General features: G+C 43.8%; 1 annotated feature.

Moving 5' to 3' along the window:
- Positions 4,838–5,408: an enhancer, noted in NCBI's record as "H3K27ac-H3K4me1 hESC enhancer chr20:52456215-52456785 (GRCh37/hg19 assembly coordinates)". NCBI's record gives its function as "activates a minimal SCP1, AML or CMV promoter by ChIP-STARR-seq in naive H9 embryonic stem cells {active_cell/tissue: H9 hESC(naive)}" and the evidence as "EXISTENCE:reporter gene assay evidence [ECO:0000049][PMID:30033119]".

The raw sequence follows: 11,532 nt of genomic DNA, 5'->3' as shown, positions 1-11,532 counted from the left end.
TAAAATAAGGCTACGAAGTTTGCTGCTTCAACTGACTCCTCCTTTCACAAAAGATTTCTCTGTAGCATGAGATGCTGTTTGATAGCATTTTACCCACAGTTGAACTTTTTTAAAAATTAGAGTCAGTCCTCTCAAACCCTGCCACTGCTTTATCAACGAAGTTTATGTCATACTCTGAATCCTTTGTTGTCATTTCAACAATGTTCACATCTTCACCAGGAGTAGATTCCATCTCAATAAAATACTTTCTTTTTTTTTTTTTTTTTTTTGTGGCAGAGTCTTGCTCTGTCGCCCAGGCTGGAGTGCAATGGTGCCACCCCAGCTCACTGCTACCTCTGACCCTGGGTTCAAGCCACTCTCCTGCCTCAGCCTCCTGAGTAGCTGGGATTACAGTTGTGCACCACTATACCCGACAATTTTTGTATTTTTAGTAGAGATGGGGTTTCGCCATGTTGGCCAGGCTGGTCTCGAACTCCTGGCCTCCAGTGATCCAACCACCTCAGCGTCTCAAAGTGCTGGGATTACAGGTGTTAGCCACCACATCTGGCCTTAAGAAACCACTTTCTTTGCTCATCCATAAGGAACGAGTCCTTATGTGTTCAAGTTTTATCATGAGATTGCGAAAATTCAGTCAGATGTGCAGGCTCCACTTCCATTAATCATTACAGTTCTCTTGCCGTTTCCATCACGTCAGCAGTTACTTCCTTCACTGAAGTCTTTAAACCCCTCAAAGTCACCTATAAAGGCTGAAATCAACTTCTTCCAAACCCGTTAATGTTGATATTTTGACCTCCTCCCATGAAGCAAGAATGTTTGTAATGGCATCTAAAATCATGAATTCTTTCCAGAAGGTTTTCAATTTACTTTGCCCAGATCTATCAGAGGAATCACTATCTATAGCAGCTATAGACTTAGAAATGTATTTCTTAAATAATAACACTTGAAAGTCAAAATTCCTCCTTGATCCAAGAGCTGCAGAATGGACGTTGTGTCAACAGGCATGAAAGCAACATTCACCTCCTTGAACATCTCCATCAGAGCTCTGGAGTGACCAGGTACATTGTCAATGGGAAGTAATATTTTGAATTTTTTTCCCCTGAGGAGTAGGTTTCAACAGTGGGCTTAAAATTTTCAGTAAACCAAGCTGTAAACAGATGTGCTGTCAACCAGGCTTTGTCGTTCCACCTATAGAGCATGGGCAGAGTAGATTTAGCATCATCTTTTTAGGGGCCATAGGATTTTCAGAATGACAAATGAGCACTGGCTTCAACTTATAGTTACCAGCTACATTAGCCCCTAACAAAAGAATCAGTCTTTGAAGCTTTGAAGCCAGGCATTGACTTCTCTCTAGCTGTGAAAGTCCTAGATGCTATCCTCTTCCAATTGAAGTTTGTTTCGTCTACACTGAAAATCTATTGCTTAGTGTGGCCACCTCCATCAGTGATCTTAGCTAGAGCTTCTGGAGAACTTGCTGCAGATTCTTCATCAGCACCTGCTGCTTCACCTGCACTTTTATCTTTTTTTTTTTTTTTTTTGAGATGGAATCTAGCTCTGTTACCCAGGCTGGAGTGCAGTGGTGTGATTTTGGCTCATTGCAACCTTCGCCTCCCAGGTTCAAGTGATTCTCCTGCCCCAGCCTCCTGAGTAGCTGGGATTACAGGTGCTCGCCACCATGCCTAGCTAATTTTTGTATTTTTAGTAGAGACAGGGTTTCACTATTTTGGCAAGGCTGGTCTCGAACTCCTGACCTCGTGATCCACCTGCCTCAGCCTCCCAAAGTGCTGGGATTACAAGCATGAGCCACTGCGCCCAGCCTTGCACTTCTATCTTATGGAGATGGCTTCTTTCCTTAAACTTCATGAGCCAACCTCTGCTAGCTTCCAACGTTTCTTCTGCAACTTCTTCACCTCTCTACCTTCCACAGAATTGAAGAGAGTTAGAGCCTTGCTTTGGATTAGGTTTTAGCTTAAGGAAATATTATAGCTGATTTAATTTTCTATCCAGACCACTAAAATTTTCTCCATCTCAGCAATAAAGTTGTTTCACTTTCTTATCACTTATGTGTTCACAGGGGTGGTACTTTCAATTTCCTTCAAGAACTTTTCCTGTGCATGCACAGGCTGGTTAGTTGGCACAAGAGGCCTAGCTTTTGGCTTTTCTTGGCTTTTGACATGCCCTAATCATTTCTAACTTTTGATTTAGAGTGAGAGACATGCAACTCTTCCTTTCATTTCAACACTTAGAGGCCATCACAGGGTTAGTAACTGGCCTAATTTCAGTATTGTTGTGTCTTAGGGTCTAGGGAAGCCTAGAAAGAAAGTGAGAGATGAAGGAAAGAAAGAAAGAAAGAGAGAGAGAGAGAGATGAGCCAGTCAGTGGAGCAGTCAGAACACTCACAATATTTATCAATTAAGTTTGCCATCTTATATGGGTATGGTTCATGGTACCTCAAAATAAGTACAATAGTAACTGAAAGATCACTGATCAGAGATCACCATAGTAGATATAATAACAATGGCAAAGTGTGAGTATTGTGAGCATTACCAAAATGTGACACAGAGACACAAAGTGAGCACGTCATACTCACTTTGTGGTTGGGAAAATGGTGCTGATAGACTTGCTGGTCACAGGGTTGCCACAAACCTTCAATTTGTAACAAACATAGTACCTGAGAAGGGCAATATAGTGAAGCATAGTGAAAACAAGGGATGCCTGTACATAAAGCTTGAATTATAAGCTTTATGTGGCCAGATTAATGATATTTTAAACAGTTTCATTGGAATATATTCACATATTATGAAAGTCACCCTTTTAAAGTGCATAATTCAATTGTGTTTGGTGTATTCATAGATATGGGCAACCACGAACACAATCACTTTTAGAACATTGTTATCACCTCACAAAAAACCCTATAAACTTTACCTACTATCCCCTAATCCCCCGGTACCCACTCCTCCTGCCCTGCCAGCCCTAAGCAACCTACTTTCTGTTCTATAGATTGCCCAATTCTGGACTCGTTTTATTTTATTATTTTATTTATTTTTGAGATAGGGTCTCTCTCTGTCACCCAGCCTGGGGTGCAGTAGCATGATCATAACTTACTGCAGCCTTGAATTCCTGGGCTCAAGCAATCCTCCTACCTCAGCCTTCCAAGTAGTTGGGACTATAGGTGTGCACCCCGATGCCCAGGTAATTTTATTTTTATTTTTAGTAGAGGCAGGGTCTTACTATGTTGCCCAGGCTGGTCTCGAATTCCTTGCCTCAACTCCTTGGCCTCCCAAAGTGCTGGGATTACAGGCATAAGCCACCACACCCAGCTTTTAAAAAATTTTATTTATCTTTATTATGTTTTAAATTTTTTTAATTTTTTGGCAGAGACACAGAGTCTTGCTATGTTGCCCAGGCTGGTCTCAAACTCCTGGCCTCAAGCAATCCTCCTACCTTGGCCTCCCAAAGTGCTGGGATTACAGGCATGAGCCACCTCACCCAGCTTTTAAAAAATTTTATTTATCTTTATTATGTTTTAAATTTTTTTAATTTTTTGGTAGAGACACAGAGTCTTGCTATGTTGCCCAGGCTGGTCTCAAACTCCTGGCCTCAAGCAATCCTCCTACCTTGGCCTCCCAAAGTGCTGGGATTACAGGCATGAGCCACCTCAGCCTGCAGGCTATTCCGGACTTTCATATGAATGGAATCATATAGTGTTTGGTGTTTTGTGATTGGTTTCTTTCACTTAACATTTTTTCAAGGTTCATTCATGTTGTAGCATGTATTAATACATTTCTTTTTATGACAATAATATTTCATTGTGTGAATAGATCACATTTTGTTTCTCCATTAATCAGCTAATGGACATTTTTATTGTTTCTACCTTTTAACTATTATGAACAATGTTGCTCTAAACATTTGGGTACAAGTTTTTGTCTGTGGCTTGAATAATTTAACCCTGTGAGACTATGCCCCAGTGCAGTAAGAATCTACATAGAGGGCTAAAAAAATATATCCACACAAATATGATTTTTCCTTAGACATATTTTCAAGCCTACCATCTTTCAAAAAGAAATAATGAGTAAGTTAACTCAGGGCACAATAATTAACAAAGATTTTGAGCTGATCAGTTATGGACAGAGAACATAATGTCTACTTCCACTCAGTAAGTATCACCAAAGAACCCAGAGAGATATGTGACTTTTTAATTGATGGTGCTTAAGTATTCCAAAATGTTATAGAAAAAATATGCATGTGACTCACATGAAATCCATTTCCTCTGTGATGGGTTCTATACATGGGTAAAGGAAAATGAAAGTTGAGTTTGCAATAAATGCACATATATATCTGGAGTCTGACCTGCCTGGCTTCACCATTTTCCAGCTATTTAACCATTAATGCTAGACAGATGGCAGTCCTCCCTCCAAGGCTCAGCTTCTCATCTATAATTGGAGATAATCACAGTCCCTACATTGCATAGTATTGGAAGGATTCTGTGAGCTAGTGCAGGCTCACATAAGGTCTTTGGTTAAAGTTAGCTATTACAAGTAGTAGTACTAGTAGTAGTCATTGTAGTAGTAGTATTTTTTTAGGTGAAGTCTCACTGTGTCACCTAGGCTGGAATGCAATGGCACCATCTTGGCTCACTGCAACCTCCACCTCCTGGGTTCAAGTGATTCTCCCACCTCAGCCTCTCAAGTAGCTGGAAATACAGGCATGCACCACCATGCCCAGCTCATTTTTTTGTATTTTCAATAGAGACAGGGTTTCACTATGTTGGCCAGGCTGGTCTCGAACTCCTGACTTTAGGTGATCCACCCACTTTGGCCTCCCAAAGTTCTGGGATTACAGGCGTGAGCCACAGCGCCTGGCCTAAAGTTAGCTGTTATTATTGGGAATTGAGGGATGTTTCATTAATGGAACCATGGATAGGGTTAATAAGGACTATGAAAACCTAAACATTTAGCAGGAGGGGAGGGTTCGATAGTCCTTAAATCCCCCTCTTTCTGTCTTTTTCTTTTGTTTTCCAGAGGCTGCCTCTTTTGAGAAGAGGGAGAAAAGAAGAAGAAGAGGGAGATAAAAAGAAAATGTTTGTGAAGCAGCCACCAAAAGTTAAAAGAAAAAACTTTATGTCTAAAGGTCAAGTAGTTGGTGGCCACACCTGGGTGAAAGGCAGGGCCAATCCTAGCAGTGAGGTTTCTGGGAGGTGGACGTGGGGACAATGGCTCCCACACAGCCCACTGACTGCATAGCTGGGGAGGCACCATCCTAGCCAGGGTGAGGAGCAGGATGCAGGCTGGACATGCCGAGGTGCAGGCAGCTGCGTCCTCTCAGGCCTCTTGGCAGGAAGGAGATGATATTTTTGCTTCCTCCTGTGGTGGCACCTAGCAGCTGTGGCCTCACTTTTTGTTCGCACAGTGGGAGTGCCCTGCAGTCATGACCTCAGTGGCTTCCTCACTTTCTGGGACCTTTTGCAAAATTCTTGTGGCTTGCCATTTACGAACCTGGTGGCTTCAATGCCTGCAGCACCTTAAAGCCAGATTGCAAAGAGGCAAACTACAGGTGTGTGTCTTGTTCGCACCTGTCTCCCCAGTGACTAGCACAGTGCCTGGCTGCGTTTCTGAAGAAAAAGTGAATGAAGGATGAAAGAGGAGGAAAGCAGGAAGGAAAGAAAAAGGGAAAAAAGAAAAAAAAGGAAGTTTTGTTTTTATTTATTTATTTTTGAGATGGGGTTTTGCTCTTGTTGCCCAGGCTGGAGTGCAATGGCGCAATCTCGGCTCACTGCAACTTCTGCCTCCTGGGTTCAAGTGATTCTCCTGCCTCAGCCTCCCGGGTTCAAGTGATTCTCCTGCCTCAGCCTCCCGAGTAGCTGGGATTACAGGCATGCGCCACCACGCCTGGCTAATTTTTGTATTTTTAGTAGAGACGGGGTTTCTTCATTTTGGTCAGGCTGGTCTCGAACTCCCAATCTCAGGTGATCTGCCCACCTCAGCCTCCCAAAGTGCTGATATTACAGGCATGAGCCACCGCGCCCGGCCCCCCCCTTTTTTTTTTAAGGCGCAGTCTCCATCTGTTGCCCAGGCTGGAGTGCAGTGACATGATCTCAGCTCACTGCAACTTTTGCCTCCCGGGTTCAAGTGATTCTCCTGCCTCGGCCCCCCAAGTAGCTGGGATTACAGGTGCCCACCACCATGCCTGGCTAATTTTTGTATTTTTTTTTAGTGGAGATGGAGTTTCACCATGTTAGCCAGGCTGGTCTCGAACTCCTGATCTCAGGTGATCCACCGGCTTCAGCCTCCCAAAGTGCTGGGAAAAGTTCCTTGGAAGTTGAGATGAAACTCTCTGGAAAAGTTTGCTGTGAAGTATAAGGTAGTGTAAGGATCAAAGGTTACCCTTTTACAACTTCAGCGCTTATAAAATGTACGCGCGCGTGTGTGTGTGTGTGTGTGTGTGTGTGTGTTGTGTAGACAGCATGTTAATTGTCAAAGGTGGAGCCTCTTAAGTCAAACGGACTTCAATTTGAATTCCAGTTCCCCTACTCGCTGGCTTTATGTTCTAACCCAAAGCAAATGCCTTCAGGAAACCTGTTTCCTCATCCATAAAATGGGACTAACAGGAGAATTACTTGAACCTGGGAGGAGGAGGCTGCAGAGAGCCGAGATCGCACCACTGCACTCCAGCCTGGGTGACGGAGAGACTGTCTCAAAAACAAATAAATAAATCAATAAAATTTAAATTTAAAATTAAATTTAAAAAGAAACAAATTGAGCCGGGCACGGTGGCTCATGCCCGTAATCTCAGCACTTTGGGAGGTCTAGGCGGGCAGATCACGAGGTCAGAAGATCAAGACCATCCTGGCCAACATGGTGAAACCCTGTCTCTACTAAAAATACAAAAATTAGCCGGGTGTGGTGGTGGGCGCCTGTAATCCCAGCTACTCGAGAGGCTGAGGCAGGTGAATCGCTTGAACTAGGGAGTCAGAGTCTCAAAAGAAAGAAAGAAAGAAAAAAAAAGAAACAAACAAAACATTTCAGTCCGGAAAGATGCGGTCTGTGGGTACAACACACACTATTTGCATGATAGTTGTACTAAAAGCCCAGACTCAACCATAACACTATATAATCAAGTACTGCACTTGGACTGCCTAAATGTATAAAAATTAAAAATTAAAGAAGAGAAAGAAAACCAAAAAAGACGGAGAAAGAAGGAAAACCAAGAAAGAAGAAAGAAAGGAAAAAGAAAGGAAGGAGGGAGGGAGGGAAGGAAGGAAGGAGGGAGGGAAGGAAGGAAGGAGGGAGGGAGGGAAGGAAGGAAGGAGGGAGGGAAGGAAGGAAGGAGGGAGGGAGGGAAGGAAGGGAAAGCAAGCAAGCAGGGAGGGAGGGAGGGAGAAGAAAAGGAAAGAGAAGAGAAAAGAGAAAAGAAAAGAAAAGAAAAGAAAAAAGAAAAGAGAAAAGAAAAGAAGAGTCAGTCCGCCTGGCCAGGGAGAGGATAAACTAGACTGTTCCCACCCAGGAGAGCTGCCTCTCAGCTGAGCAAGTCAGCCAACACCTTGAGCAGGGCACCCACAGGCCAAAGTGCAAAGCCTGAAAGAGGAGCACTTAGGACAAGTAAAAGGAAGTCATTCTTGTCCCATCAGGGAGCAAGCATTATCCTTGAGCAATGGACAGGTGAATCATTTGTTAATTCATTTAATAAATGGTCGCTGATTACCTGAGCCAGGCAATGTTATAGACACTAGGGTTCAAACAGCAAATCGTCAGGTGTGGTTTCCTCTCACAAGAAGTCCACATCTTTACCTGACAGGCAGCCCACCAGTAAGCAAAGAAATAAATGGGATTATGTTAGACTGTAGTAAGGACCAAGAAGAAAAGAAAACCGAATTATAGATCAGAAACTGACTGAGGGGAGAGTAACTTTGGGGGTGTGCTCAGGGAAGCCCTCTGCGCAGGAAAGAGTTTAAATAGCAGTGTGAGACTGCCCTCCTCAGAAACGTCTACTTGCTATGGGCCCTTGACCACTGTCTGAAAGCTTGGATCTCAGGAGGATTCCCACCATTAACTATTAAGAGTGACTTGACAAAATATATAGTAATTTTTTTTTCTTTTTGAGGCAGAGTTTTGCTCTGTCGCCCAGGTTGGAGTGCAATGGCGTTATCTCGGCTCACCGCAACCTCCCGGGTTCAAACTATTCTCCTGTCTCAGCCTCCCGCGTTGCACAGCTGGGACTACAGGCGCCCGCCACCATGCCCAGCTGATTTTTGTATTTTTAGTAGAGACGGGGTCTTACCATGTTGGCCAGGATGGTCTCAAACTCCCGACCCCAAGTGATCCTCCCACCTCGGCCTCCCAAAATGTTAGGATTACAGGCACCACGACAGGCCGAAAAATAATTTTTTATTGCAACATTTCATGAGATAATCTTAAAGCAGCTAAGCCACTAGATCTATCGCTATGAGCTCTTATCTGAAGTGGATCTACAAAAACAGTCAATTTCCTCAAAGTGTCAATCCTAGATAATAGATAGGGACATTAATAATTAATGACACAATTTCTTTTTTTTTTTTTTTTTTTTGAGACAGAGTCTTGCTCTGTTGCCCAGGTTGGAGTGCAGTGGCATGATCTCGGCTCACTGCAAGCTCCACCTTCCGGGAACACGCCATTCCCCTGCCTCAGCCTCCTGAGTAGCTGGGACTACAGGCACCAGCCACAGTGCCCGCCTAATTTCTTTTGTATTTTTAGTACAGACAGGGTTTCACTGTGTTAGCCAGGATGGTCTCGATCTCCTGACCTTGTAATCCGCCCTCCTCGGCCTCCCAAAGTGCTGGGATTACAGGTGTAAGCCACCGCGCCTGGCCTAATGACACAAATTCTACCTGAATGACAGTGTTACAGAACTTTTATGATTATATTAAATAAACAACAATATGCTTCTCCTTTTGTCTCTATTCTTTAGAATGATTGGTGACCCTCAACCTTTTATAGTTATTTTTAATTTTTTTAATATTTTTAATTTTTTTATTTTATAGTTTTATTTTAAAGTATAGTTTTACATACTGTTCTGACAGTTCATAAAAATCTGGCAATTCAAAATTTTTACTTTGGCATTAGGTGGTCATAACCATAGGGAGTTGTAAAAACAATTTATGAAATAAAAAGATACAAACCAACAGAAAAAGAAAGAATGGCTCACTGTGCCTAAACTGTTTGTACAGACGACACAGTCTATGCAGAATATCTGCTTTCCTTCTGGGAATCTGGATTTGGGTATGCATTTCACCAGCCCCCAGTAAAACCCTGGGCACTGGGTCTCTAATAAGCTTCCTTGGTAGATAACATGTGACACCTGTTGCCACCACTGTCGCTGGGGAAGTACGCACGTCCTGTGTGACTCCTCTGCAAGAGGGTTCTTGGAAGCTTGCACCCGGTCTCCCCTAGACATCACCCCGAGTGCCTTTTCCCTTCGCTGATTTGGCTTGGCGTCCTTTTATTGCAATACACGTGAGTCATGCGCACTACTAGATGCTCAGTCCTGTGAGTTCTCCTGGCAAGTCCTCAAGTCTGAGAGTGACTTGGTGATCCTTGACACAGCCTCCCCAAGGAGATAACATTGGACCTGAACTCTGAATGAGGAGATGCCAGCCTTGTGATCACCTAAGAGAGACGCATATCAAACAGACAGAACAGCCAGTGCAAAGGTCCTGGGGCAAAAAAACTTGGTGAGTTTTAAAAATTGTTTTAGGCCAGGCGCGGTGGCTCACGCCTATAATCCCAGCACTTTGGGAGGCCGAGGCAGGCGGATCACGAGGTCAAGAGATCGAGACCATCCTGGCCAACAGGGTGAAACCCCGTCTCTACTAAAAATACAAAAATTAGCTGGGCGTGGTAGCACACGCCTGTAGTCCCAGTTACTCAGGAGGCTGAGGCAGGAGAATTGAATGAACCTGGGAGGCACACTTGAACCCAGGAGGCAGAGGTGGCAGTTAGCCGAGATCGCGCCACTGCACTCCAGCCTGGTGACAGAGTGAGACTCCGTCTCAAAAAAAAAAATTGTTTTAAAGTTAAGTGCAGTTAGAGCACTGTTACGGAGGAACAGTAGAAGAGGTTCCTCTCAACAGTTGAGAGGCTACAGGGTATATCAGGTCAGGGCTGGGGGAAGTCTTATAAACCATGGCAAAGAATTTGAACTTGATTCTAAGTGCCGCAGTAGCCACTGGAGGGCTTTAGAAGGAAAAGATTTTCTGGCCAGGCAAGGTGGCTTGCACCTGTAATCCCAACATTTTGGGAGGCCAAGGCAGGTGTATCACCTGATGTCAAGAGTTCGAGACTAGCCTGGCCAACATGGCGAAACCCTGTCTCTACTAAAAATATATATATAAAAAAAAAACAACTAGCCAGGCATAGTGGCACATGCCTGTAATCCCAGCTCTTCGGAGGCTGAGGCAGAAGAATTGCTTGAACCCGGGAGGCAGAGATTGCAGTGAGCTGAGATCCTGCCACTGCACTCCAGCCTGGGCAACAAAGGAAGACTCTGTCTCAAAAAATAAAAGGAAAAGATTTCAAGCAGAGCAAGAAAAAGTAAAAAAATCATTCAACGAGGTGCTCCTAAAAATTAAAAATTAAAAAAATCAGAAGGTGCCTCATTCCTGCCCACCTTAGTCTAAACTCTGAGCCAAAGATTGGCTTCAAGTAGTTTAGGGGCCACATTCAGCCTGCAAATACTCTGGTCCCTACTCTGCTCCCCTAGCCAAAAGAGAAAGGGAGAGAGAGAGAAAGAGAGAGAGAGAGAGAGCACACTAACATTTTAAAATCAAAAGACAACCTATAAAGTGTTATTTTTGGACTTCCCTTTAAAAATGCACATAGCTGAGTATTTAGTCACACAGGGCGTCTGTGGTGGCAATGCACTGGGGCCACCCTTTGCACAGGTGCTCCACTCCACATGTTCCGCCAGCCCAAGTGGCCACGGCTGCTCATTGAGACCCAATGTTTCCTGCCCCACAATTTATCAAGGAACTTGCTGTTGTTGTGGTTTACATTTTTGTTTTTAACACACAGCACACTTTAGCCATCCTCTTAGGCTAAACCGTAGGTAATCGCTGTTCTTATAGTCTGAAAATTGTTGAGTATTATATGATTCACCCTAATATATTCTACCTGGTTCCCAGAGGCTTTGGAGCTTGTGTCTCAGCCAGGCTTGACTTATTCCAGTTCCTTAAACTGCCAGAATAGTTCCTCATCCCGGGTCTTTGCACACACTCTTCCCTCCCGCTTAAACGTTTTATCCAGCCAACTTGGACTCGCCACCGGCTTTCAGTTGAGAAGGTGCTTCCCCTAAGAAATGTCACCTGACCCATCAGTGTCAGGGCTAGTGTGCCTTGTGAATTGCTCTAAAGGGCCATGTTTTAATATTAACATTAGGTTGGTGGAAAAGTAATTGTGGTTTTTGTCATTACTTTTATGTATTAGATATGTATGTCTCTTAACCACTGCTAGCAATGAGCCAAGGCTACCCCTTAACAGGGGTTATAATGTGTAATAAAGACAA

Source organism: Homo sapiens, chromosome 20 (assembly GCF_000001405.40).
Source record: "Homo sapiens chromosome 20, GRCh38.p14 Primary Assembly".
In the NCBI taxonomy this organism is placed as follows: Eukaryota; Metazoa; Chordata; class Mammalia; order Primates; family Hominidae; genus Homo; species Homo sapiens.
This window is presented reverse-complemented; position numbering and strand designations above follow the sequence as displayed.